At 48.4% G+C, this 27,901-nt stretch overlaps 1 protein-coding gene across 8 annotated transcripts in view, besides 4 other annotated features; it reads left to right on the forward strand.

The window, feature by feature from the left end:
* TRPM4 (transient receptor potential cation channel subfamily M member 4) overlaps positions 1–27,901 on the forward strand; it is a 54,045-nt gene extending 26,144 nt beyond the window's left edge. For 7 of the 8 annotated variants that reach the window (NM_017636.4, NM_001321282.2, NM_001321281.2 and 4 more), the window contains 13 exons: positions 4,706–4,835; positions 5,011–5,156; positions 6,273–6,385; positions 6,761–6,838; positions 12,505–12,939; positions 16,365–16,497; positions 16,676–16,850; positions 18,029–18,206; positions 26,274–26,470; positions 26,775–26,907; positions 27,080–27,152; positions 27,229–27,334; positions 27,559–27,901. In NM_017636.4, coding sequence (NP_060106.2) covers positions 4,706–4,835; positions 5,011–5,156; positions 6,273–6,385; positions 6,761–6,838; positions 12,505–12,939; positions 16,365–16,497; positions 16,676–16,850; positions 18,029–18,206; positions 26,274–26,470; positions 26,775–26,907; positions 27,080–27,152; positions 27,229–27,334; positions 27,559–27,563 — 1,902 coding nt within the window. In that variant the 3' untranslated portion in view covers positions 27,564–27,901. The remainder of the gene's footprint in view (positions 1–4,705; positions 4,836–5,010; positions 5,157–6,272; positions 6,386–6,760; positions 6,839–12,504; positions 12,940–16,364; positions 16,498–16,675; positions 16,851–18,028; positions 18,207–26,273; positions 26,471–26,774; positions 26,908–27,079; positions 27,153–27,228; positions 27,335–27,558) is intronic. The other variant, NM_001195227.2, reaches the window with a different exon arrangement.
* Positions 4,453–4,954: an enhancer, noted in NCBI's record as "H3K4me1 hESC enhancer chr19:49691645-49692146 (GRCh37/hg19 assembly coordinates)". NCBI's record gives its function as "activates a minimal SCP1, AML or CMV promoter by ChIP-STARR-seq in primed H9 embryonic stem cells {active_cell/tissue: H9 hESC(primed)}" and the evidence as "EXISTENCE:reporter gene assay evidence [ECO:0000049][PMID:30033119]".
* Positions 4,955–5,454: an enhancer, noted in NCBI's record as "H3K4me1 hESC enhancer chr19:49692147-49692646 (GRCh37/hg19 assembly coordinates)". NCBI's record gives its function as "activates a minimal SCP1, AML or CMV promoter by ChIP-STARR-seq in primed H9 embryonic stem cells {active_cell/tissue: H9 hESC(primed)}" and the evidence as "EXISTENCE:reporter gene assay evidence [ECO:0000049][PMID:30033119]".
* Positions 12,824–13,150: a silencer, noted in NCBI's record as "fragment chr19:49700016-49700342 (GRCh37/hg19 assembly coordinates)". NCBI's record gives its function as "represses an EF-1alpha promoter that drives an FKBP-Casp9 reporter gene in an ReSE screen in phorbol 12-myristate 13-acetate-treated (for megakaryocytic differentiation) K562 erythroleukemia cells {active_cell/tissue: K562(+PMA)}" and the evidence as "EXISTENCE:reporter gene assay evidence [ECO:0000049][PMID:32094911]".
* Positions 26,696–27,334: an enhancer, noted in NCBI's record as "H3K27ac-H3K4me1 hESC enhancer chr19:49713888-49714526 (GRCh37/hg19 assembly coordinates)". NCBI's record gives its function as "activates a minimal SCP1, AML or CMV promoter by ChIP-STARR-seq in naive H9 embryonic stem cells {active_cell/tissue: H9 hESC(naive)}" and the evidence as "EXISTENCE:reporter gene assay evidence [ECO:0000049][PMID:30033119]".

A 27,901-nucleotide genomic window follows, 5' to 3' on the forward strand; every position in this document is an offset into this window, starting at 1 on the left:
GCTAATTTTTTGTATTTTTAGTAGAGATGGGGTTTCACCGTGGTCTTGATCTCCTGACCTTGTGATCTGTCTGCCTTGGCCTCCCGAAGTGCTGGGATTACAGGCGTGAGCCACTGTGCTTGGCCTGTGAATTTCTTTTACTTGGAGTTCCTTGAGCTTCCTGGATGTGTAGACTTTTGTCTTTCATCACATTTTGGAAGTTTTTAGGACATTATATCTTCAAATATTATTTCTTTCCCTTTCTGTCTCTCTTTTCCTTTTGGACTCTCATTATGTATGTATTAATATTCTGTATGGTGTCTCGCAAGTCCCTTAGGCTCTGCTTATTTTCCTTCATTTGTTTTTCTTTTTTCTCCTCAGGCTGGATAATCTCAATGTACTTAGCTTCAAATTCACTGATCTTTATTTTGCCTTTTTTATGAATCTACTGTTGAGTCCCTCTAGTGGTTTTTATATTTCAGTTATTGTGCTTTTTAGCTTCAGAGTTTCTATTTGGTTCATTTCTGTCTCTGTAGTCTTTTTTTTTTTTTTTTTTTTTTTTTTGAGACAGAGTCTCGCTCAGTCGCCCAGGCTGGAGTGCAGTGGCTCAATCTCCGCTCACTGCAAGCTCTGCCTCCTGGGTTCACGCCATTCTCCTGCCTCCACGCCATTCTCCTGCCTCAGCCTCCCAAGTAGCTGGGACTACAGGTGCCCGCCACCACGCCCAGCTAATTTTTTTGTATTTTTTTAGAGACAGGGTTTCACTGTGTTAGCCAGGATGGTTGCGATCTCCTGACCTCGTGATCTGCCCTCCTCGGCCTCCCAAAGTGCTGGGATTACAGGCGTGAGCCACTGCGCCCGGCCTCTGTAGTCTGTCTTTTTTTTTTCCTGGTCCCACTACAAAACTTTATTTTTGATTACAGTACCATTCTCAATCTCTTCTACAAAAAGCAGAAAAAAAAGCAGCCACTTCACTCAAGACCTATATACAGATAAGATGTTTTCTGTGTTTTTTTCTTTTTTTTTTAATTTTTATTTTTAAAAAAATAAATTCAGTGTTCACATTTCTATAAAGAATTAACCCAGTTTCAGGAAACCCTGCCTCTATCTCTGTATTCTTATTCTCTAGGTGGTGAGACATCTTTTTCCTGGCTCCCTTTAGTTCTTTTTTCATGATTTCCTTTAGCTCTTCGAGCATATTTAAGACAATTTATTTAAAGCCTTTGCTAGTAAGTTCAGTGTCTGAGTTTCCTCAGGGATAGTTTCTATTCATTTATTTTTTTCCTACTCATTTCTATTCATTTCATTTCTTTTCTTTTATTTATTTATTTGTTGTTCTTGTTGTTGTTGTTGAGACAGAGTCTCATTCTGTCACTCAGACTGGACTGCAGTGGTTTGACCAAAGTTCACTGCAACCTTGACTTCTTGGACTCAAGCAATCCTCCCACCTCAGCCTCCTGAGTAGTTGGGTCTACCAGCCACATGCCAAGCTAATTTTAAAAAATTTGCAGAGATGGGGTCTTACTATGTTGCCCAGGTTGGTCTTGAATTCTTGGGCTCAAGCAATCCTCCTGCCTGGGCCTCCCAAAGTGCTGGGATTACAGGTGTGAGCCACCATGCCTGGTCTCTATTAATTTCTTTTTTTTCCAGTATATGAACCATATTGTCTTGTTTCTTTGCATGCCTCATAATTTTTGGTTGAAAAGTGGAACATTTTGAATATGATAATGTGGCAACTCTGGAAATCAGCTTATGCCCTCCCTCCAGGGTTTGTTGTGGCTGCTGCTCATTGTGGGTCATTGTTGTTTGTTTAGTGACTTTTCTTTTTTCTTTTTCTTTTTTTTGGGGGGAGGGGGGATGGAGTCTCACTCTGTGGCCCAGGCTAGAGTACAGTGGTGCAATCTCGGCTCACTGCAAGCTCCACCTCCCAGGTTTAAGTGATTCTCCTGCCTCAGCCTCCCAAGTAGCTGGGATTACAGGTGTGTGCCACCACACCCAGCTAATTTTTGTATTTTTCATAGAGACGGGGTTTCACCATGTTAGCCAGGCTGGTCTCAAACTCCTGACCTCAGGTGATCCACCCACCTTGGCCTCCCAAAGTGTTAGGATTACAGGCGTGAGCCACCGCGCCCACCCTGTTTAGTGACTTCTCTAAACCTTTTTTGGAAAGTCTGTATTCTTTGCATGTGTGGCCATGGAAGCCCCTCTTCTGTTAGCTTAGTGGTCTGCTGGTGACTTGACAGAGATATCCTTAAATGCCTAGAACCACAGAAGCAAATATAACAAGAAACTCCCTATAAGTGCTGGGATTAGAGGCATGAGCGACGCCCACCGTGGCTGTATATTGAAGCAGTCTTTCAATACTTAGCCAAGCTGTTTACAGTTCTGCTTTAGTCTTCACTTCCTGCTTGTGCAGAGCCTAAAGTTCAGCCAGATGTAAGAGCTTCAGGTTTTCTCTGGTATTTTCTGAGCACGCCTCTAGCCCTAGTCATGCATCTAGCCGTCTGGATTTCCTGGTACACAAGGAAGACTTTCAAAGCCCTTATTCCCTCCAAGTATTTCCTTTCATGGCCTCTTTCTTCCCAAGATGCTTAGTGTATCTATTACTGCCTCTACTGTGAGTCCTTGCCTCAGATGGATGTGGTTAATTCATTTGCCTTTAAAAGATTTTAACAGGCCGGGTGCAGTGGCTCACACCTGTAATCCCAGCACTTTGGGAGGCCGAGGCAGGTGGATCGCCTGAGGTCAGGAGTTCGAGACCAGCCTGACCAACATGGAGAAACCCTATCTCTACTAAAAGCACAAAAAATTAGCCTGGCATGGTGGCGCATATCTGTAATTCCAGCTACTCGGGAGGCTGAGGCAGGAGAATTGCTTGAACCTCGGAGGCAGAGGTTGTGGTGGGCTGAGATTGCAGCATTGCACTCCAGCCTGGGCAACAAGAGTGAAACTCCGTCTCAAAAAAAAAAAAAAAGATTTTAACACACACTGCCTGGAAAGCCACTTTTTCTCTGGGGAAAGCTCTAAGGCAGGTGAAGCAAAGTCAAGTCCTTGAGCTGTTGCTTCAGGGAGCCACCAGATAGGGCCACACACACAACCACAATTCTGGAGGGTAAGTCTGAATTGCTCCCTCTAGTACTAGCGACCCACACCAGGAATGTGTGTCTTTGTCTTCAAGGTTGCCACTGAACTGGGGAGCTGGGGGTAGTAAGTGGGTAGGTTAAAATGTCACAGTACCCTCTTACTGAAATTTAGTGGTCTCTTCATTAAGCATTTTCTTGTTTTTTTTTTTTTATAAGTTTTCGATTAGATTCCAGAATTCTAGAAAAGTTGATTCTGACAACTTTTGATAGCTATTGATTGCTTTTGTGGAGGGATAAAGTTTTGAAGTTCCCTACACTGGCATTTTTGGTCACCTCTCCAAGGGCTTTTAAAAATTTCATTGTTAGAGACAGGGTCTTCCTCAGTCATCCAGGCTGGAGTGCAGTGGCATGATCATGGCTCACTGCAGCCTCAACCTACTGGGCTCATTCGATCCTCCTACCTCAGCTTCCCTAGTAGCTGGGACTACAGAAGCAGACCACCACGCCTGGCTAACTAAAAAAAAAAAAATTTTGTAGAGATGGAGTCTCACCATGTTGCCTGGCTGGTCTTGAATTCCTGGGCTCAAGCAATCCTCCTCATTTGTAACCACCCAATGGGTTCACGTTGCCCGCTGCCTAGACAGAGCCGATTTATCAAAACAAGGAAAGTGTAATGGAGAAAGAGTAATTCGCGCAGAGCCGGCTGTGCGGGAGACCTCAGTTTTATTATCACTCAAATCAGTCTCCTCGAGGATTCAGGGATCAGAGCTTTTAAAGATAATTTGGTGGGTAGAGGCTTGGGAAGTGGGGAGTGCTGATTGGTCAGGTTGGAGATGGAATCACAGGGGTTGGAAGTGAGGTTTTTCTTGCTGTTTTCTGTTCCTGGGTGGGATGGCAGAACTGGTTGAGCCAGACTACAGTCTGGGTGGTGTCAGCTGATCCATCCAGTGCAGGGTCTGCAAACTATCTCAAGCACTCATCTTAGGTGTTACAGTAATGATGTTATCCCCAGGAGCAATTGGGGGAGCCAGAGGCTGCGTGACCCCTAAACTTAATTTCTAATCTTGTAGCTAATTTGTTAGTCCTGCAAAGGTAGACTGGTCCCCAGGCAAGATGGGGGTCTTTGGGGAAAGGGCTATTATCAATTTCGTTTCAGAGTCAAACCATGAACAGAATTCCTTCCCAAAGTTAGTTCAGCCTATGCCCAGGAATGAGCGAGGACAGCTTAAGGGTTAGAAGCAAGATGGAGTCGGTTAGGTCTGATTTCTTTCATTGTCATAATTTTCTCAGTTATCATTTTTGCAAAGGTGGTTTCACTTCAGCCTCCCAACGTGCTGGGATTATAGTCGTGAGCCACTTTACCCAGCCTCCAACTGCTTCTTGACCTGTCTGTGACTGCTGAATTGATTCTAACTGCAGCCCAGCCCCTGACTTGCATCCCTGGTCTCTGAACCACCTGACTTCTGGCATTTTCAACTGACTTTCAGTTTCTTCCAGATCCATCTCCAAACATTACTTCATCCTTGGCCTCTGATGACCCCAGTTAGTTTCTGACCTCTGACTCTGTTCCTTCCCTTGACTTCAGGCTTCCTCCCCCTCTATGAACCCTCTTTGACGCATCCGTGCCCTCTTTGTCTCTCCAGGGTTCCAATGCAGTTTCCTCAGCTCTTGGGGCCTGTTTGCTGCTCCGGGTGATGGCACGCCTGGAGCCTGACGCTGAGGAGGCAGCACGGAGGAAAGACCTGGCGTTCAAGTTTGAGGGGATGGGCGTTGGTGCGTGGGGCACGGTGCCTGGGAGCAGGGACGGGGGCTGCCGCCAGAGGGGGATGTGCAACTCCGCACTCCTCACATATCCCTGCGCCATCCCCTTAAATTCCCTTACCTCTCCCTTCACACCCTCACCCTACTCCTTCCCATCCCTGTCACATAACTAACTCCTCTGCCCCAGACCTCTTTGGCGAGTGCTATCGCAGCAGTGAGGTGAGGGCTGCCCGCCTCCTCCTCCGTCGCTGCCCGCTCTGGGGGGATGCCACTTGCCTCCAGCTGGCCATGCAAGCTGACGCCCGTGCCTTCTTTGCCCAGGATGGGGTACAGGTGAGTATCTGCGACACCAACATCCCAAACAGTCTCCAAGTGGACTCTGGGAAGTATGGGGATGAGCCCCTGCCATTGGGAACATCTATGGTCTTGACCAGCCACTCTCCCTGGAGATCCCCCAGAAAGTCTCTCTTCTCTCTCAGAAAGGCTGCTCTTCCCATAAGAAGCCCCGCTCCCTTCCACCAAAAGCCAACCTTCCCACGGCAAAGCCCATCTTCCTAAAAAGTTCCACTCCAGATAGAGAAACTCCTTGTGACCCTGTCAGGAAATTCCACCTTTAACCTTGGAAGTCCTTCCCGCTTTCAGGGAAGAGTCCATTTCTTTCAAAGGAAGTCCTAGCTCATCCACAGGAAGTCCTACGGCATCCACAGGAAGTCCTTTCCACTTCCTTTAGAGGTCCCTAGTTTCAGTTTTCAGCAGTTAGAATGGCCTCACTGAACAATTACCTTTTTTTTTTTTTGGACATAAACAAACTTTGGTCTAGGAAATCTCACCCTTCCTATAGGAAATCATCTGCCTTGGGAAGCCCTACTTGCTCCCACAGTCTCTCCGATCCTGACAAGTTGACATTTTGGAAACATTATCAATATTTTTAGTTTAAATCTGACAGGGGCTCAGAGTCCCACTTTAGTACAGGAAGTTGTGCCCAACAGGAAGTCCCATCCTCATCTGTTGGAATGGTTTGGCTGACATTTCAAACAGCTACCCAGAGTCCCTTGCTGTGGATAGTGGTTAAACTCATGGATTCCAGCTCTACCACATACAAACTGTGTTTCTTTGGGCCGTTTCCTTAACCTCTCTGTGCCTCATGTGTACCAAGGAGGAGATACTAGTACCCACCCCCTTATGTGTCAAGGGTTCGGTGGACTAATCTACATAAAGTGCTTAGCCCTGTATCTGCCATATGGTGTCAATTTAAGTGTTGACTGTTTACTGCCAAAACCTGGCCTAAGTTGTCTTTGCCTTTCACCACCGTTTCCCTACCTCAATAGTTGTGGCTGTGACATTGGGCACTTGCTCTGTACTCTGGAGCTGCAGTCCAACCCTTGCTGGGCGTCTTAGGGACGGGGCTGTGGGGGAGATTTGGATCCTAATCCTTCCCACCCCCCACAGTCTCTGCTGACACAGAAGTGGTGGGGAGATATGGCCAGCACTACACCCATCTGGGCCCTGGTTCTCGCCTTCTTTTGCCCTCCACTCATCTACACCCGCCTCATCACCTTCAGGTCAGTACCCTGGGGTGAGAGTGGTGGGGATGGGGGCGGGGTGCTCAGTTTCTCCTTCCTGCCCCCTCTGCCCACCTTTCTTCCCTCATCGGCCCATTGTGTCCCTTCCCTAGGAATGGGACTCTCTGTCCCTCCACTAAGGGAGTGCTGTGGGAGGTGAGTTTTGGGGGGGATCCTCCCTGTGGTATCTCTAGTGGCAGTTACTCTGCCTTTCTGGCCATGGCTCTGGGGGAAGGTCCCTTTGGGATGACTTTAGGAGACCACCTCTCTGTCCCTCTGCCATGTCTCCGGGTGAAGAAGTTTGAGTTTTGCTGGAGAATGCCTCTCCACCTTCTCTTCCCCTCATTTCTTGCTCTGTGCTTCCCCCCTTGCTAGGAAATCAGAAGAGGAGCCCACACGGGAGGAGCTAGAGTTTGACATGGATAGTGTCATTAATGGGGAAGGGCCTGTCGGGTGAGTGGAGCCTCCAGCACTGTGTGAGGTGGGGACACCCTGGGCAGTTCAGGACATGTGCCAGTTCCACGTTGTGTTAGTCCCCTCTTGAGTTGCTACAAAGTTGCTAAACCTGAGACTGAGTAATTTATAAAGAAAAGAGGTTTCATTGGCTCATGGTTCTGCAGGTTGTACAGGAAGCATAGTGCTGGCATCTGCGGCTGGTGAGCCCTCAGGAAGCTTCCACTCATGGCAGAAAGTGAGGGAGGAGCCAGTGTATCACATGGCGAGAGCAGAAGCAGGAGTAGGGGTGCCACATAGATCTCATGTGAACTAACTGAGCAAAAAGTCTCCAAAGGGATGGTGCTGAGCCATTTGTGAAGGACCCACCACCAGGACCCAAACACTTCCCCCAGGCCCCACCTCCAACATTAGGGATTACATTTCTTTGTTCTTTTTTTCTTTTTTTTTGATACGGAGTCTCCCTCAGTTGCCCAGGCTGGAGTGCAGTGGTACAATCTTGGCTCACTGCAGCCTCTGTTTCCTGGGTTCCTGATCAGCCTGCCTCAGCCTCCCAAGTAGGTGGGAGTAGAAGTGCATGCCACTACGCCCAGCTAATTTTTGTATCTTTAAAGTAGAGTCGGGATTTCACCATGTTGGCCAGGCTGGTGTCAACCTCCTGACCTCAAGTGATCCGCGCACTTTGGCCTCCCAAAGTGCTGGGATTACAGGTGTGAGCCACCGGGCCCAGCCAGGGATTACATTTCTTTCTTTCTTTTTTGAAATGGGGTCTCGCTCTGTCGACCAGGCTGGAGTGCAGTGGTGTGATCTCCGCCTCCTGGGTTCAAGCGATTCTCCTGCCTCAGCCTCCCGAATAGCTGGGACTACAGGAGCCCACCACCACACCTGGCTAACTTTTGTACTTTTAGTAGTGACAGGGTTTCATCACATTGGCCAGGCTGGTCTTGAACTCCTGACCTTGTGATCCGCCCGCCTCAGCCTCCCAAAGTACTGGGATTACAGGCATGAGCCACCATGCCTGGCCCAGGGATTACATTTCAATGTGAGATTTGGAAGGGACAAACATCCAAACTATATCACACGTCCCATCAGGGACTGAGATACTGAGGAAGCTTCCCAGGTGCCAAGCTCAAGACTTGGCTCAAGATTTGGTTCTGCCATCAAGGAGGCCATCACCAGAAATTGATTTTCTTCATGCTACACATACTTCCATCCCTCTGTAGCAAGCGGAATCAGTTGATTGAGGGATTTTTCACCTATTTTGTTCGTGGTCCCAAGGCCCCTGCTTTTAATCACTATGCTATGGTTGCCGTTAAGGTATTTTAAAAGTCAGGCCTAAGCAAATGAAATAGAATATTTATCAAACTTCTTTTTTTGTTGTTGTTTTTGAGGCGGAGTCTTGCTCTGTCGCCAGGCAGGAGTGCGGTGCCGCGATCTCATCTCACTGCAACCTCCGCCTCCTGAGTTCAAGCGATTCTCCTGCCTCAGCCTCTCAAGTAGCTGGGATTACAGTCACCTGCCACCACGCCCAGCTAATTTTTTTGTATTTTTAGTAGAGACGGGGTTTCACCATGTTGGCCAGGATGCTCCCCATCTCCTGACTTTGTGATCTGTCCTCCTCAGCCTCCCAAAATGCTGGGATTACAGGCATGAGCCACCATGCCTGGCCTATATATAGTTTTTTAAGACAATGTAGAGAGGATACAAAATATTTATCTGTAGCCATAAAAAAGAACGAGATCATTTCCTTTGCAGTGACATGGTTGGAGCTGGAGGCCATTATCCATAACAAACTAACAGGAACAGAAAACCAAATACCCCATGTTCTCACTTATAAGTAAGAACTAAATGATGAGAACACATGGACACACAGAGTGAAACAACACACATTGGGGCCTATTGGAGGACAGAGGGTAGGGCGAGGGAGAGGACCAGGAAAAATAACTAGTGGGTACTAGGCTAAATACCTGGGTGATGGAATAATCTGTACAACAAACCCCCATGACACAAATTTACCTACCTAACAAACCTGCACATGTACCTCTGAACTAAAAATAAACGTCAAAAAATAAAAAAAAGAACAAAATATGTATCAAGAGAGAAGGGAAAAACTAAGATAAACATTTGGACCACTGAGAAAGGTTGATAGAAGGCCCCAGTGTCTGAGGTCAGGATCAGTAATGGTGTCCTTCCCTAGCAATTTCTCATCTGCACATGTGATGATGATGACGACCTTGATAACAGCTGATGTTATGAAACACGTACAATGAGCAACTACTGTGCTCAATTCTTTTGAAAATCAGTTGGTTTTTTTTTTTTTTTTTTGAGATGGAGTCTTACTCTGTCGCCCAGGCTGGAGTGCAGTGGCATGATCTCGGCTCACTGCAAGCTCCTCCTCCCGGGTTCACACCATTCTCCTGCCTCAGCCTCCTGAGTAGCTGGGACTACAGGTGCCCGCCACCACGCCCGGCTAATTTTTTTGTATTTTTAGTAGAGCTGGGGTTTCCCCGTGTTAGCCAGGATGGTCTCGATCTCCTGACCTCGTGATCTGCCCGCCTCGGCCTCCCAAAGTGCTGGGATTACAAGCATGAGCCACCGCACCCGTCCGGAAATCAGTTCGTTTAATTCCAACAACCCAGTGCAATAGGGCCTATAATTATTCTCATTTTGCAGGTGAAATAATGGAGTCATTCAGTCACTTGCCTCAGATCATGTGGTTGGTAAATGGTAGAGCCGAGATTTGATCCCAGATCCTCTTGTACCTGAGTCTGTGCTCTCAGCCCCTGTGGAGCCCCCCCACTGAGAGCTCTGTTGAAGGACAGATCCCAAGATCCCCCCAGAGAGGCTGGGGCTGAGCCCAGGAACCTGCCTGTGGCCTGGCTGGAGGTGATTCAAGATGGCAGATGTGGGGGAAGCTTTCTGACCCACCGCTCTCCCTTCTTACCAGGATTCTGCAGGAGAACTGTGAAATACCATGATGGTTTTCTCTATCAGTAGGGAGCTTGCTGTCCTCTCTGCATCTGACCTTCTTTCTCTAGGAGTTCTTAGTTTCTGTAGCTTTCACTATTCTCCTCCTTCTCCTCCTCCTTCTCCTCCTTGTCCTCCTCCTTGTCATCCTCCTTCTCCTCCTCCTCGTCATCCTCCTTCTCCTCCTCCTCTTCATCCTCCTCCTCCTTCTCCTCCTCTTCCTACTCATCCTCCTCCTCTTCCTCCTTCTCCTCATCCTCTTTCTCTTCCTCCTCCTCATCCTCCTCCTGCTCCTGCTCCTCCGCCTTCTCCTCATCCTACTTCTCCTCTTCATCCTCCTCCTGCTCCTGCTCCTCCGCCTTCTCCTCATCCTACTTCTCCTCTTCATCCTCCTTCTCCTCTTCCTCCTCTTCATCCTCCTCCTCCTGCTCCTGCTTCTCCGCCTTCTCCTCATCCTCCTTCTCCTGCTCCTCCTCCTCCTGCTCCTCTGCCTTCTCTTCATCCTCCTTCTCCTTCTCCTTTCTTCTTCTTTGAGACAGGATCTTGATCTGTCACTCAGGCTGGAGAGCAGTGGCGCGATCATGGCTTACTGCACCCTCAACCTCCCAGGCTAAGCCATCCTCCCACCTCAGCCTCTCAAGTAGCTACAGATGCATGCTATGCTCGGCTAATTTTTATATGTTTTGTAGAGATGGGGTTTCGCCATGTTGCCCAGGCTGGTCTCAAATTCGAAGGCTTAAGTGATCTTCCCACCTCGGCTTCCCAAAGTGCTGGGATTACAGGCATACACCACTGCGCTTGGCCTCACTTATTTCCTTCCTTCCTCCTTCCTTCCTTCTTTCCTTCCTTCCTTTCCTTTCCTTTTCTTTCCTTCCTTCCTTTCTTTCCTTCCCTTTCTTTCTCTCTCTCTTTCTCTCTCTGTCCCTCCCTCCCTTCCTTCCTTCTTTTCTTCCTTCCTTCCTCCCTCTCTTTTCTTTCTTTCTCTATCTCCTTCCCTCCCTCCCTCTCTCCCTCCCCCCAACCCTTCCTTCCTCCCTTCTGAGACAAGGTCTCACTCTGTTGCCTCCGCTGAAGTATAGTAGCTTGATCTTGGCTCACTGCAGCCTCAACCTCCCAGTGTCAAGTGATTCTCCTGCCTCAGCCTCCTGAGTAGCTGGGACTGCAGGTATAAACACACCTGGCTAATTTTTTTTTTTTTTTCTGTAGAGATGGGGTTTCACCATGTTGCCCAGGCTGGTGTTGAACTCCTGGGCTCAAGCAATCTGCTCACCTTGGCCTCCCAAAGTGCTGGGATTTCAGGCTTGAGCTACCACGCCCAGCCTCACTTTTTTTTCTTTTTTTTTAAATGGCAGCTTTATTGAGCTGTAATCCACATATCATACCGTTCACTTACTTAAGGTATACAATTCAGTGCTTCTTGGTGTACTCACAGAATTGTGAAATCATTTCCACAATTCATTTTCAAATATTGTCATCACTCCAACAAGAAACTCTGTACATGCTTAGCACTGCTTTTCGTTTTCCCAGCCCTAGGCCACCATTCATGTACCTGCTGTCTCTGGGTTTGCCTGTTTTGCACACTTCACATAAGTGGAGCCATGCACTCTATGGTCTTTTCTTCTTCTTCTTCTTTATTTTTTTATTTTTTGAGACGGAGTTTTGCTCTCGTTGCCCAGGCTGGAGTCAATGGCGCGACCTCAGTTCACCACAACCTCCGCCTCCCGGGTTCAAGCGATTCTCCTGCATCAGCCTGTCAAGTAGCTGGGATTACAGGCATGCGCCACCACGCCAGGCTAATTTTGTATTTTTAGTAGAGACGGGGTTTCTCCATGTTGGTCAGGCTGGTCTCGAACTCCCGACCTCAGCTGATCTGCCTGCCTCGGCCTCCCCAAATGCTGGGATTACAAGCGTGAGCTAGCGCGCCCAGCCCGTTTCTACTTTAATTTTTTTTTTTTTTTTTTTAGACAGGGTCTCGCTCTATTGCCCAAGCTGGAGTGCAGTGGCATGTTCATGGCTGACTGCAGCCTGGGCCTCCTGTACTCAAGTGATCCTCCCATTTCAGCCTCCCCAGTAGCTGGGACTACAGGTGCTTGCCCCTACTACTGGCTAAATTTTTATTTTTATTTATTTTATTATTATTATTATTATTATTTTTGAGACAGAGTCTCACTCTGTCGCCTAGGCTGCAGTGCATTGCAACCTCTGCCTCCCAGGTTCAAGCGATTCTCCCGCCTCAGCCTCCCGAGTATGTGGGACTACTGGCATGCGCCACCAGACCCGGCTAATTTTTGTATTTTTAGTAGAGACAGGGTTTCACCATGTTGGCCAGGCTGGTCTCGAACTCCCTACCTCAGGTGATCTGCCCGCCTTAACTCCCAAAGTGCTGCGATTACAGGCGTGAGCCACCGCGCCCGATCCGGGTATATTTTTAAAATATTTTTTGTAGAGATGAGGTTTTGCCATGTTGGCCAGGCTGGTCTCCAACTCCTCGGCTCAAGCGATCAATCCACCTCTTGACCGGAGATTTCAGAGGTCAGAGGTTAGATACAAGAGTCAAAACCCAAGAAATTAGCTCTGGGCAGACTGAGTTTCGGGTCAGGCAGGGTGAGATGTGCCAAGCCAAAAGTCTCGATGATGGTGGAGATCAGGACTCAGAGGTCAGAGTGAGGCCTCCTCCCTTCTCTTCTCTTCCCCCACAGGACGGCGGACCCAGCCGAGAAGACGCCGCTGGGGGTCCCGCGCCAGTCGGGCCGTCCGGGTTGCTGCGGGGGCCGCTGCGGGGGGCGCCGGTGCCTACGCCGCTGGTTCCACTTCTGGGGCGCGCCGGTGACCATCTTCATGGGCAACGTGGTCAGCTACCTGCTGTTCCTGCTGCTTTTCTCGCGGGTGCTGCTCGTGGATTTCCAGCCGGCGCCGCCCGGCTCCCTGGAGCTGCTGCTCTATTTCTGGGCTTTCACGCTGCTGTGCGAGGAACTGCGCCAGGGCCTGAGCGGAGGCGGGGGCAGCCTCGCCAGCGGGGGCCCCGGGCCTGGCCATGCCTCACTGAGCCAGCGCCTGCGCCTCTACCTCGCCGACAGCTGGAACCAGTGCGACCTAGTGGCTCTCACCTGCTTCCTCCTGGGCGTGGGCTGCCGGTGAGTGCCCCGGGGCCTTGGAACCCTGGCCCCTGGCCACCTCTCATCCTTCCTGCCCACTCCCGGGGTCTCCACTCCCGGCTTCCCCGCAGCTGGGCAGCAGGTCAAGCCAACCCTGCTGATTGAGAACCCCTCTTAGGAAAGTCGGGCATGACGATTGCCCCAGGGTAATTGGCTGGCACCTGGAGATCTGGCTTCAGGGACGGCAGGATTCAGGAGAAAACCCCACTGTCCGCCACTCAGCCTCTGCTGCTATTTATTGCTAGGCCTGAAGTTTAACAGATATTTATGGGAGCGCCCCGACCTGGGTGCCAACCTCACCTCCTCCCTTCTCTTCCTCCACATAGCTCGTTGGTCCCAGGCCCCTTGCCCTCCTGCCCCCGACTTTTTCTTTCTTTCCTTTTTTTTTCTTTCTTTCTTTCTCTTTCTTTCTTTTTCTTTCTTTCTTTCTTTCTTTCTTTCTTTCTTTCTTTCTTTCTTTCTTTCTTTCTCTCTCTTTCTTTTCTTTCTTTCTCTTTTCTTTTCCTTTCTTTTCTTTTTCTTTTTCTCTTTTCTTTCTCTCTCTCTCCCTCTGTCCTCTGCCCCTCTGCCTCCCTCCCTCCTTCCTTCCTTCCTTCCTTCCTTCCTTCCTTCCTTCCTTCTATGCTTCCTTCCATCCCTCCAAGCTAAGGGTTTAACCCTTGCCCTGCCTGCATTATGGAGTATCCTGCATTAGGATACTCCTCCTTTTGAGGAGAGCAAACAGAAAAGTTTGTGGATACAACCTGGTGACTGGTTTTTTGTTTGTTTGTTTGTTTTTGTTTTCTTTCTTTTCTTTTTTTTTTTTGAGCCAGAGTTCCGCTGTGTCGCCCAGACTGGAGTGCAGTGGTACGATCTTGGCTCACTGCAACCTCCACCTCCTGGGTTCAAGCGATTCTCTTGCCTCAGCCTCGTGAGTAGCTGGGATTACAGGCATGCACCACTACACCTAGCTAAATTTTTTTTGTATTTTTTTTGTAGAGATGGGGCTTTGCCATATTGACCAGGCTGGTCTTGAACTCTTGGCCTCAAGTGATCCACTGGCCTTAGCCTCTGAAAGTGCTGAGATTACAGATGTGGGTCACCGTGCCTGGCCAACAACCTGGTGACTGTTTACAAGGGACCTGACACATCCTGAATGGTTGACAGTGATGACAGTGATGATCCCTACTCAAGCTTTTCCCAGTAGACACGCTGAGAGGCAGGCTTCCTCTAAGCTATGTTAGCAGTGTTACAAAGTGATTCAACATAAATAATTTATTCAAGCAGGGAGCAAGATATGAGAGTTTTGCAGAACACTAATACTTCTGTTTGTAATTTGTTGTATTTTGTATAAAGTGACTTTTGAGATGAAAGGGCTAAGGCCATATGCTACCATGCTCTAGGATTGCCAGTGATATTTTGGACAGTTTATCAAGCCTACCACTTTCCAGGTGAAAAATGGAAAGATCTCAGCTTAAAAGGGAGAAACGGGCCTGGCGTGGTGGCTCATGCCTGTAATCCCAGCACTTTGGGAGGCCGAGGCGGGTGGATCACCTGAGATCAGGAGTTTGAGACCAGCCTGCCCAACATGGTGAAACCCCATCTCTACTAAAAATACAAAAAATTAGCCGGGCATGGTGGCAGGCGCCTGTAATCCCAGCTACTCGGGAGGCTGAGGCAGGATAATTGCCTGAACCTGGGAGGCGGAGGTTGCAGTGAGCCAAGATCATGCCACTGCACTCTAGCCTGGGTGAAAAGAGCAAAACTCTGTCAAAAAAAAAAAAAAAAAAAAAAGGGAGAAATGTCTAATCATCTCCGGAATTGAATGGATGAATCATCCTTTGTTTCGCCAGTTCCCTCTAGATGGACATTTAGGTTCTCTCTTTCTTTCTTTTTTTGTTTTAAATAGAGACAGGGTCTCACTCTGTTGCCCAGGCTGGTCTCAAACTCCAGGGCTCAAGCAATCCTCCCACCTTGGCCTCTCAAAGTGCTGGGATTACAGGCGTGAGCTACTATGCTCAGCCTTCTGTTTTTTTATTATTCCAAAATAATAAAAGTTTACATCCCAGATGTAAAGTTTATGGGTCAAAGGGTACATTTATTTTTGACATGGATAGATTTCCTTCTAAGTAGCTTCACTCATTTCCACACCTGCCATCAGGGTAAGAGAGTGCCCCCTTGAGGCCATGCTCGACAATGCCTGATACTTTCACTCTAAAATGTAGCTCTCAATTTAACTGAAAAAAAATTTGCCAATTTAATGGGTAAACATGACCTCTCCTTGTTATAATTTATGCACTCTTGACTACCAGATAGGTTGGACATCTTTTCCTAAGCTTAATGGCCATATGTCCTTGTGCCCCCTTGTTTTTTTTTTGGTTTTTGTTTTTGTTTTTGTTTTTGAGACGGAGTCTCGCTCTGTAGCCCAGGCTGGAGTGCAGTGGCGCGATCTCGGCTCACTGCAACCTCCGCCTCCCGGGTTCACGCCATTCTCCTGCCTCAGCCTACTGAGTAGCTGGGACTACAGGTGCCTGCCTCCACGCCCGGCTAATTTTTTGTATTTTGTAGTAGAGACGGGGTTTCACCGTGTTAGCCAAGATGTTCTCGATCTCCTGACCCCGTGATCCGCCCGCCTCGGCCTCCCAAAGTGCTAGGATTACAGGCGTGAGCCACTGCGACCGGCCACCCTCCCGTTTTTTTAATTGGGGTTCATTGATTTGTATATGTATAAATGTATATACTCCTTATACTCTGGATCCTAATCCTCGGTAGTTTTGTTGGTCTTAATATCTTCATATCTTCTCGAAGTCTGTGGCTTGTCTTTTCACTTTCACTTTTGTATGTTTCTTTTCTTTTCTTTTTTTTGAGCCTGCCTCGGCCTCCCAAAGTGCTGGGATTACAGGCGTGAGCCACCGCGTCTGTCCATACACTAGGTTTTTAATCCATCCAAAGTTTAAGTACATGAGGATGCAAAATAGGGGTAGAATTTTTATTTTCCCCATAGGAATTATTGATGTTTACTGGCCGTTTGAACGTCCTCTGTGAATTGTACGTGGTATCCTTTATCTGGCTTCCTTCCTTTTGCGTATTAGTTTGTAAGGACTCTATATGTTTTGCCTTTTATAGGTTGGACAGATATTCCGGCAGTTTTTCCAGCTTGATTCTTACAGGGACCAGCTCTTTGCTAAGGCCATCGTTCATTCAGTCATTACTTAATAGGCGCAGCCATTTTAAAAATGGGTGCCAGGGCCCTGCATGGACCAGCTTGGTACTGAATAAATTTGAGTAAACCCCGGGTGACTGGGAGGGTCCTGGTCCTGCCCGGTGGAGGCTGCAGCTTCCTCTGAAGGATGGCATTGGGAAGACTTCCATTTTCCTTGGCGTCTTGTGACACTTGACCCTTGTGGCATCTCCCCACACCCCAGGCTGACCCCGGGTTTGTACCACCTGGGCCGCACTGTCCTCTGCATCGACTTCATGGTTTTCACGGTGCGGCTGCTTCACATCTTCACGGTCAACAAACAGCTGGGGCCCAAGATCGTCATCGTGAGCAAGATGGTGAGGCAGGGGCGGGGCCAAAGTGGGCGGGGACATAGGGAAAGGGGTGGGGCCAGGGAGGGAGTGGTCCGTGGAGAAGGGGCGTGACTTTGGGGAGCAATGGGGCGTGTTTTTGGGATATAGGGGTGGGGCCAGAGTAGGAAAGGGCGGGGCCAGACTCAGCCACATCTCCCCACAGATGAAGGACGTGTTCTTCTTCCTCTTCTTCCTCGGCGTGTGGCTGGTAGCCTATGGCGTGGCCACGGAGGGGCTCCTGAGGCCACGGGACAGTGACTTCCCAAGTATCCTGCGCCGCGTCTTCTACCGTCCCTACCTGCAGATCTTCGGGCAGATTCCCCAGGAGGACATGGACGGTAGGGGGGATGACGGCCTGACAGCCTTCCTCTGAGTCTCTGTCCCCGCTCCCTGGGTCTCTGTCCTCCTGGCTCTAAGAAAATATCTGTCTCTCTGAGTCTCTGTCTCCCTCTTTCTCTGGATCTCTGAGTGATACCCTATATTCCCCATCATCATCTCTCTGGGTCTCTGCCTACCCCACCCCCTCTGTCTTTCTGTCTGTCTTTCTTTTTTCTTTTTTTTTTTCTTTTTTTTTGAGATGGATGTTAGAAATGTTTATTTTGTGGTGTCGTAAAGAAATAGTACTTGAACATAAATTTAATTTTTTTAGTAAAGCCATTTTTATTTTTTGTAGAAAGGGTACACTCGCCAGCAGTTTTGTCATGAGAGTACACGGAACAAAGGAGATAGGGTCATTTATAACCTGACGCGTCTATTTTACTGCTGTGTCTGGTTTTTATTGGCTGGAACCGGACTTTACATTTTGTATTTGTCTTGATTGGCTAGTAACTTAGAAGTTTTTAAAAGAAGCGAAGGCAGAGGAGAACAAAGGAAGGAGGAAGTAACTTGTGGAATGTTGAGAAAGGTAAAAACACTTTTAAATAAGGAAGAGGAACAGGCTATGATCTAATGCTTGCTTGAACCAGTATAAGTATGTCAGGGCAAATATTTAGGCTAAATTGTGAGAGCTAAGAACATAAAGTACATTGATTTATTTTTTATGGCTAGTAGATATTTAAGAATGTTAGCACAGGTGTTTGAATAAATTTTGTTTCTAAGAGAAGTTACTATTTATTGTTAATTAGATGGGGAGGAAAGTCTTTGAAGAGGAACCTGTACTTTACTTTTTACATGGAGTTTTGCTCTTGTTGCCCAGGCTGGAGTGCAATGGCACGATCTCAGCTCACTGCAACCTCCACCTCCCAGATCGAAGCGATTCTCCTATCTCAGCCTCCCGAGTAGCTGGGACTACAGGCGCGTGCCACCACGCCTGGCTAACAGTTTTGTGTTTTTAGTAGAGATGGGGTTTCATCACATTGGTCAGGCTAGTCTCAAACTCCCCACCTCAGGTGATCCGGCCATCTCAGCCTCCCAAAAGTGCTGGGATTACAGGCGTGAGCCACCGCGCCCGGCAGTCTTCCTGTCTTTCTTAGGTCTCTGTCCCCCTCACCCCATCTCTGAATGTCTCTCTTCACAGTGGCCCTCATGGAGCACAGCAACTGCTCGTCGGAGCCCGGCTTCTGGGCACACCCTCCTGGGGCCCAGGCGGGCACCTGCGTCTCCCAGTATGCCAACTGGCTGGTGGTGCTGCTCCTCGTCATCTTCCTGCTCGTGGCCAACATCCTGCTGGTCAACTTGCTCATTGCCATGTTCAGGTGAGGCCTGACTGCTCTCTGATCTGACCCCACCCAGCATGACCCGTGGCCCTCTCATGACTCTTGAACCCCGTCTAATGAATTCTGTTTTTAGTCCCTGAACTCTGATCCAATCTAATGCTGCCTTCTCCCCAAACCCAACCAGACCCTGCTTGTAATTTGGACTTTGGACTGATCCTCTCCCTGAGCCCAGGTTGAACTTCCTTATTTGTATTTTTTTGAGACAGGGTCTCACTCTGTCGCCAAGGCTAGAGTGTGGTGATGTGATCGTAGCTTACTGCAGCCTCGACCTCCTGGACTCAAGCAATCCTCCTGCCTTCGCCCCATAAGTAGCTGGGACTACTTAAAATTAGCCAGGCCAGCAGGCCTGCCTAATTTAAAAAAATTTTTGGAGAGAGGGGTCTCACTATGTTGTCCATGCTAGTCTCGAGCTCCTGGACTCAAGTGATCCTCCCTCCTCAGCCTCCCAAAGTGCTGGGATAATCTGTCACCTAGGCTGGAGTGTAGTGGCAAGTTCTCAGCTCACTGCAACCTCCACTTCCCACTCCCCCATACCCAGTTAATTTTTTGTATTTGTAGTAGAGATAGGGTTTCACCATGTTGGCCTTGAACTCTTGACCTCAAGTGATTGGCCCACCTCAGCCTCCCAAAGTGTTGGGATTACAGGTGTGAGCCATCGCGCCCAGCCAACTTTGTTTTTTATTGTGGTAAAATTATATAAAATTTTCCATTTTTACTTCTTTTTTTTTTTTTTTTTTTTTGACGGAGTCTCGCTGTGTCACCCAGGCTAGAGTGCAGTGGCACGATCTCACAATCTCAGCTCACTACAAGCTCCGCCACCCGGGTTCACGCCATTCTCCTACCTCAGCCTCCTGAGTAGCTGGGACTACAGGTGCCCGCCACCACGCCCAGCTAATTTTTTTGTATTTTTAGTAGAGACGGAGTTTCACCGTGTTAACCCGGATGGTCTCAATCTCCTGACCTCGTGATCCACCCGCCTTGGCCTCCCAAAGTGCTAGGATTACAGGCGTGAGCCACCGCGCCCCGCCTTTTTTTGAGATGGAGTCTCGCTCTGTCGCCCAGGCTGGAGTGCAATGGTGCAATCTCAGCTTACTGCAACCTCCACCTCCCAGGTTCAAGCGATTCTCCTGCCTCAGCCTCCCAAGTAGCTAGGACTACAGGCGTGCGCCACCACACCTGGCTAATTTTTTGTATTTTTAGTAGAGATGGGGTTTCACCGTGTTAGCCAGGATGGTTTCGATCTCCTGACCTTGTGATCCGCCCGCCTTGGCCTCCCAGAGTGCTGGGATTACTGACATGAGCCACCGCGGCCGGAGTTGATTTTTACCATTTTTAAGTGTACAAGTCAGTGACATTAATTACATTTACAGTACTCTCCAACCATCACCACTATCTATTTTCAATACGTTCTATCACCCAGAACAGAAAGTGTGTCCCCATGAAACAGCAACTCCCCACTTCCCCTCCCCACAGGTCTTAGTAACCTCCAGTGTATTTTCTGTCTCTATGGATTTAGTCTAGATGTTTCATGTAAGTGGAATTATGCGATATTTGTCTTTTGGTGTCTGGCTGATTTTACTGAGCATGTTTTCAAGGCTCATCCCTGTTGTAGTGTGCATCAGAACTTCATTCATTCCGTTTTATGAATGAGTAATATTCTATTGTACAAATAGACCACATTTGGGCCCAGCGTGGTGGCTCATGCCTGTAATCCCAGCACTTTGGGAGGCCTAGGCGGGTGGATCACCTGAGGTCAGGAGTTCGAGACCAGCCTGGCCAACGTGGCAGGACCCCCTTTTTACTAAAAATACAAAAATTAGCTGGGCTCATGTCTGTAATTCCAGCTACTTGGGAGGCTCAGGCACGAGAGTCGCTTGAACCCAGGAGGCGGAGGCTACAGTGAGCCAAGATCGTGCCACTGCACTCCAGCCTGGGCAACAGAGCGAGACTCCATCTCAAAAAAAGAAGACCACATTTGATTTACCCGCTCATCTGTTGATGAACACTTGGGTTCTTTCTGCCTTTTGGCTATTGTGACTAATGTTTGTTGGAACATTGGCATGCAAGTATCTATTTGAATCCTTGTTTTTATTTCCTTTGGGTGTGTATCTCAAAGTGGAATTCCTCGGTCATGTGGTAATTCTATGTATAGCTTTTTGAGAAACCACCAAACTGGTTTCCACAGCAGCTGCACCATTTTCCATTCTCACCAGCAGTGTATGAGGGTTTTAATTTCTCCACATCCTAGCCAACACTTGTTATTTTCCTTTTGTAAAAATTATAGTCATCCAGCTGGGTGTAGTGGCTCATGCCTGTAATCCCAGCACTTTGGGGGGCTGAGGTGGGAGGATTGCTTGAGCACAAGAGTTCGAGACCAGCCTGGGCAACATAGCGAGGCTGCTGTCTCTACCAAAACACCAGAAATGAGATACCACTTCACACCTGCAGCCTCAACCTCCTGGGCTCAAGTGATCCTCCCACCTCAGCCTCCCAAGTAGCTGGGACTACAGTTACGTGCCACCATACCTGGCTTGTTTTTTTAATTTTTTTTTTACTTTTATTTTATTTATTTATTTTTAGTAGAAACGGGGTTTCACCATGTTATCCAGGATGGTCTCGATCTCCTGACCTTGTGATCCACCCATCTCGGCTGGATCCCAAAGTGCTGGGATTACAGGCGTGAGCCACCGTGCCCAGCGGCTATTTTTTTTTTTTTTAATGAAACTCCTTTTTAATCCTATGTTAGGTCTCTCTGTTTGCTTCCTTTCTTGTTGGCATGATTTTTGCTGAGAAAATATAAAATTTCATTGGCTTTGGTTGTTTTTTTTTTTTTTTTTTTTTCAGAGATGGGGTCTTACTATATTGCCCAGGCTGATCTTGAACCCCTGGGCTCAAGCAGTCCTCTTGCCTTGGCCTTCCAAAGTGCTGGGATTATAGGCACAAGCCCCTGTGCTGGACCTATTGTATTAGTTTCCTAGGGCCGCCAGAGTACCAAAAACTGTGTGGCTTTAAATCACAGAAATTGTCTCACAATTCTGGATGCTAGAGGTCCAAAATCAAGGCATCCGTCAAGCTGTTTTCTTCTGAGGGATGTCGGGGAGAGTCTGTTCCATGCCCCTCCTGTCACGTCTAGTGCTTTGCTGGCCATCTTTGGCTTCTAGTTGCGTCATTGAAACTTCTGCTTTCATCTTCCAGATTTCCCCTTTTAATAAAACGTTACTTAAATTGGATTAGGGACCATGCTAATAACTTCATTTTAACTTGATCACATGTGTAAACTCTATTTCCGAATAAAGCCACATATTTCATAAATAAAAAATTTAAAAAGGTCTCATTCTGAGGCACTATGGGTTATGACTTCAACTTTTTTTTTTTTTTTTTTTTTTTTTTGGAGACAGAGTCTTGCTCTGTCACCCAGGTTGGAGTGCAATGGCGTGATCTCGGCTCACTGCAACCTCCACCTCCTGGGTTCAAGGGATTCTCCTGCCTCAGCCTCCCGAGTAGCTGGGATTACAGGTGCCTGCCACTATACACAGCTAATTTTTGTATTTTTAGTAGGGACGGGGTTTCACCATGTTGCCCAGGCCGATCTCAAACTCCTGACCTCAGGTGATGCACCTGCCTCGGCCTCCCAAAGTGCTGGGATTACAGCCGTGAGCCACTGGACCCGGCCGGACTTCAACATATCTTTAGCGGGATACAATTCAATGCATGACACTCATAGATTTATGAGTTTATTTCTGGACTTTCAATTCTATTCCACTGGATTGCGTCTATCCTTATGCCAGAACCACACAGTTTTTTGGGTTTTTTTTGAGACGGAGTCTCGCTCTTGTCACCCAGGCGGGATTGCAGTGGCACGATCTCTGCTCACTGCAACATCCGCATCCTGGATTCAAACGATTCTCCTAACTCAGCCTCCTGAGTAGCTGGGATTACAGGCACCTGCCACCACGCCCGGCTAATTTTTTTGTATTTTTGGTAGAGACAGGGTTTCACCATGTTGGCCAGGCTAGTCTTGAACTCCTGACCTCAGGTGATCTGCCTCGGCTTTCCAAGGTGCTGGGATTACAGGCGTGAGCCACCATGTCTAGCCCACACAGTGTTGATTACTGTAGGTTTGTAGCAAATTTTGACATTGGAAGTATGAGTCTCCTTTGTTATTTTTCAAGATTGTTTTGGCTATTCTGGGCCTCCTGCAATTCTATATGAACTTAAAGATCAGAGTTTCCATGTCTGTCAAAAAGGTTGTTGGAATTTTCTTTTTTTTTCCTTTTTTTTTTTTCTTTTTTTTGAGACAGAGTTTCACTCTTGTTGCCCAGGCTGGAGTGCAATGGCGCGATCTCAGCTCACCACAACCTCTGCCTCCCGGGCTCAAGCGATTCTCCTGCCTCAGCCTCCTGAGTAGCTGGGCTTATAGGCATGTGCCACCACGCCCGGCTAATTTTGTATTTTTAGTAGAGACAGGGTTTCTCCATGTTGGTCAGGCTGGTCTCGAACTCCCGACCTCAGGTGATCCACCCGCCTTGGCCTCCCAAAGTTCTGGGATTACAGGTGTGAGCCACCGCGCCCGGCCAGTTGTTGGAATTTTCCGAGGGATTGCGTTGAATCTGTAGATTGCTTCGGGTAGTATTGATATTTCATCTAGGTGTTCTTTTTAATGCTTTTCCAGCAGTATTTGGTAGTTTTCAGGCTACAAATTGTTCACCCTTTTGGTTAACTTTATTCCTAGGTGCTTAACCTTTAGATACTGTTGTAAGTGGAATTGCTTTCTTAATTTCCTTTTTGGATTGTTCATTGCGGGTGTGTAGAAACACAACTGATTTTTGTGTGATCTTGTACCCTGCAACTTTGCTGAATCTGCAGCCCTAGAAGCTTTCTTGTGATTCTCTGGCATTTCCTATATATAGGATCATGTCATCTGTGAATAGAGATATTTTTACTTCTTCCTTTCCAATTTGGATGCCTTTTATTTTTTTTCTTGTTTAATTGTTCTAGCCAGAACTTCCAGCACAATGTGGAATAGCAGTGGTAAAAGTGGACATCCTTGTCTTGTCCCTGATCTTAGGCAGAAAGCTTTCACTCTTTCACCATTGGGTATGACGGTAGCTGTGGGTTTTTCAGAAGTACCTTTTCTCATGTTGAGAAAGTTTATTTCTATTCCTAGTTTACGATTTTTAAAAATTATGATGCATGGTGGCTTGTGCCTGCAATCACAATACTTTAGGGAGCCAAAGTGGGAGGATCACTTGAGGCCAGGAGTTCAAGACCGACCTGGGCAACATAGTGAGACCTTATCTCAATAAAAAAATAAAAAATTTGCCAGGCGTGGTGGTGCATGCCTGTAGTCCCAGCTACTCAAGAGGCTGAGGTGGGAGGAAGGCTTGAGCCCAGGAGGTCAAGGCTGTGGCTTCAGTGAGCCATGATTTCACCACCATCATGATTGTGCCACCAACAGAGTGAAACCTTGTCTCAAAAAAAAAAAAAAAAAAAAAAAGCCATGCATGGTGGCTCAAGCCTGCAATCCCAGCACTTTGGGAGGCCGAGGTGGGCAGATCATGAGGTCAGGAGATCGAGACCATCCTGGCTAACACGGTTGTAGGGGCCAGCCCTACAAGGTCTGTGGGTTTTTCTCCCCGTGTGCAGAGACAAGAGATTGTAGAAATGAAGACACAAGACAAAGAGATCAAAGAAAAGACAGCTGGGCCTGGGGGACCACTACCACCAAGACGTGGAGACCGACAGTGGCCCCTAATGCCTGGCTGCGCTGTTATTTATTGGATACAAAGCAAAAGGGGCAGGGTAAAGAGTGTGAGTCATCTCCAATGATTGATAAGGTCACGTGAGTCACATGTCCACTGGACAGGGGCCCTTCCCTGTTAGGTAGCCAAGGCGGAGAGAGAGAGGACAGCTTACATCATTATTTCTTCTATGCTCTTTTAAGAAAGATCAAAGACTTTAATACTTTAATACTTTCACTAATTTTGCTACTGCTATCTAGAGGGCAGAGCCAGCTGTACAGAGTGGAACATGAAAGTGAAACAGGAGTGTGACCGCTGAAGCACAGCATCACAGGGAGACGGTTAGGCCCCTGGATAACTGCGGGCGGGCCTGACATCAGTCAGGCCCTCCACAAGAGGTGGTGGAGCAGTCTTCTCTAAACTCCCCCGGGGAAAGGGAGACTCCCTTTCCCGGTCTGCTAAGTAGTGGGTGCTTTTCCTTGGCACTGACGCTACCTCTAGACCACGGTCCGCTTGGTAACGGGAATCTTCCCAGATGCTGGCGTTACCGCTAGACCAAGGAGCCCTCTGGTGGCCCTGTCCAGGAATAACAGAAGGCTCACACTCTGTCTTCTGGTCACTTCTCATCATGCCCCTTCAGCTCCTATCTCTGTATGGCTTGGTTTTTCCTAGGTTATGATTGTAAAGCAAGGATTATTATAATATTGAAATAAAGAGTAATTGCTACAAACTAATGATTGATATTCATATATAATCATATCTATGATCTATATCTAGTATAACTCTTGTTATTTTATATGTTTTATTACACTGGAACAGCTTGTGCCCTCGGTCTCTTGCCTTGGCACCTGGGTGGCTTGCCGCCCACACATGGTGAAACCCCATCTTTACTAAAAATACAAAAAGTTAGCTGAGCGTGGTGGTGGGTGCCTGTAGTCCCAGCTACTCAGGAGGCTGAGGCAAGAGAATGGCATGAACCCAGGAGGCGGAGCTTGCAGTGAGCCGAGATTGTGCCACTGCACTCCAGCCTGTGGGACAGAGCAAGACTCCATCAAAAAAAAAAAAAAAAAATCGTGAAGTGTTGTTGAATTTTGTCAAATGCCTTTTCTGTGTTGGTTGAGAAGATCATATGGCTTCCCCCACACCTTGTTCTATTAATTTGGTGTTTGCATTAATTTTTGTATGTTTAACTACCCTTACTTTCCTAGGATAAATCCCATTTCGTTATGGTATAAAATCCACTTAATGTGCTGCTGAATTAGATTTGCTTGTATTTTTTCAGGATGTTTACATGTATATTCATAAGGGCTACTGCTCTGTAATTTTCTTGTGATATCTTTATCTGGCTTTGGTATTACGGTAATGCTGGCCTCATAGAATGAGTTAGGAAATGTTCTCTCCTTTTCAATCTTTTGGACGAATTTGAGAAACATCCTTGTTATTATAATTCTTCTTTAAATATTTGATAGAATTCACCAGCACAGCCATCTGGTTTTGGGCTTTTCTTTATTGAAACGTTTTTGATTCAATCTCTTATGATAATTCTACTGAGATTTTCTGTTTTTTCTTGAGTCAGCTTAGCTAATTTGTGTGTTCCTAGGAATTTGTCCATTTCATTTATCTAGTTTGTTGACATATAATTGTTGATAGTATTCTCATACAATCCTTTTTATTTCGGTAAGGTCAGTAGTAATGTCTCCATTTTCATTTCTGATGTTAGTTATTTGTGTCCAGGCTAACTTTGGAGCCCAACTTTAACCTGACTTCAACCTCCACCTTATACCGTGATACCATCCCAACTTGACCTCTGACATCTGACCCTTGGCCCTTCTAAACTGACTTTTTTTTTTTTTTTTTTTTTTTGAGATGGAGTCTTACTCTGTCTCCCAGGCTGGAGTGCAGTGGCACGATCTCAGCTCACTGCAACCTCCACCTCCTGGGTTCAAGCGATTCTCCTGCCTCAGCCTCCCCAGTAGCTGGGATTACAGGTGCCCACCACCACGCCTGGCTAATTTTTGTATTTTTAGTAGAGATGGGGCTTCACCATGTTAGCCAGGCTGGTCTCGAACTCCTGACCTGAGGTGATCCGCCCACTCCGGCCTCCCAAAGTGCTGGGACTACAGGCGTGACCAAACGCCCTTGGCTCTAACCTGACTTCTAATCGCATCCTGTAACCTCTGACTTTAGTGATCTTGACTTCTGTCTGCTGCTATAGACTGAACAATTATTGCCTGGCATCTAACCTTCGTCCTTGCCCCTGGCTGGGCCCTGACCTCAAGTGACCTTTGACCTCTGGCCTTTGCAGTTACACATTCGGCAAAGTACAGGGCAACAGCGATCTCTACTGGAAGGCGCAGCGTTACCGCCTCATCCGGGAATTCCACTCTCGGCCCGCGCTGGCCCCGCCCTTTATCGTCATCTCCCACTTGCGCCTCCTGCTCAGGCAATTGTGCAGGCGACCCCGGAGCCCCCAGCCGTCCTCCCCGGCCCTCGAGCATTTCCGTAAGAACAGAGCTTGGCTTAAAAAGGAGAAATATAGGGGACCGGGAGCCTGGAAGGCGAGGGGAAGGGGGCATGCCCCAAATGACTAACGGGCGTGGCTTAGGTAGCGAGGGGCGGGGTTTAAGCAACAAGGGGCGGAGCTTAAGCACTGAGGGGCAGTGCTTACGGGTGAGGGGCGGGGCATGTTCTCGAATCACCAGGGGCTGGGTCTGGGATAGCGTGCGTGTTCTGAGGGTGTCGGAAGGGGCAGCTGGGATTGGGAAGGGGCGTGGCCTGAGCCCTTTGACTCCGCCCGCCCCTGCAGGGGTTTACCTTTCTAAGGAAGCCGAGCGGAAGCTGCTAACGTGGGAATCGGTGCATAAGGAGAACTTTCTGCTGGCACGCGCTAGGGACAAGCGGGAGAGCGACTCCGAGCGTCTGAAGCGCACGTCCCAGAAGTGAGAGCGGGGCCTGGTCGGGGATGGGGCTTCTGGCCTGGGGCGGATCCTGACTTCAGCTGAAGGCAGGGTCCTGGGAGGGAGGGAGAGAGGGAGGAGGCCCGGGAAGCAGGCAGAGCCCTGGGGGTGGGTGGGCTGCGGGTGCCCCCGGTAAGAGGCCCTCCCTTCTCAGGGTGGACTTGGCACTGAAACAGCTGGGACACATCCGCGAGTACGAACAGCGCCTGAAAGTGCTGGAGCGGGAGGTGAGGCCTTGGGGCCTGGCTGGGGGACTGTGGCAGGGGTCCCATCTCCCGCTCTGACATTCCTCCCATTCCGCAGGTCCAGCAGTGTAGCCGCGTCCTGGGGTGGGTGGCCGAGGCCCTGAGCCGCTCTGCCTTGCTGCCCCCAGGTGGGCCGCCACCCCCTGACCTGCCTGGGTCCAAAGGTCAGTGTGTAGCATCAGCCTGTGCATCTCCAGCCTCTGTTCCTGTATTTTTGCGTGTTTTTCTCTCTCGGCACCTTTCCAGTGTCCCTGGGTCACTCTCTTGGTCTCCTTTGAGCCTTTTGTACTCTCGCCTTCGTCTTTCTTCTTTTTTGCCAGTCTCCCAGTTTTTCTGTCTCTCCCCTTCCCTGCCAATCACCTGCTCTCTCTTTTCTCTCTTCCCCCAGACTGAGCCCTGCTGGCGGACTTCAAGGAGAAGCCCCCACAGGGGATTTTGCTCCTAGAGTAAGGCTCATCTGGGCCTCGGCCCCCGCACCTGGTGGCCTTGTCCTTGAGGTGAGCCCCATGTCCATCTGGGCCACTGTCAGGACCACCTTTGGGAGTGTCATCCTTACAAACCACAGCATGCCCGGCTCCTCCCAGAACCAGTCCCAGCCTGGGAGGATCAAGGCCTGGATCCCGGGCCGTTATCCATCTGGAGGCTGCAGGGTCCTTGGGGTAACAGGGACCACAGACCCCTCACCACTCACAGATTCCTCACACTGGGGAAATAAAGCCATTTCAGAGGAA

The sequence above is a fragment of the Homo sapiens genome, chromosome 19 (genome assembly GCF_000001405.40).
Source record: "Homo sapiens chromosome 19, GRCh38.p14 Primary Assembly".
In the NCBI taxonomy this organism is placed as follows: Eukaryota; Metazoa; Chordata; class Mammalia; order Primates; family Hominidae; genus Homo; species Homo sapiens.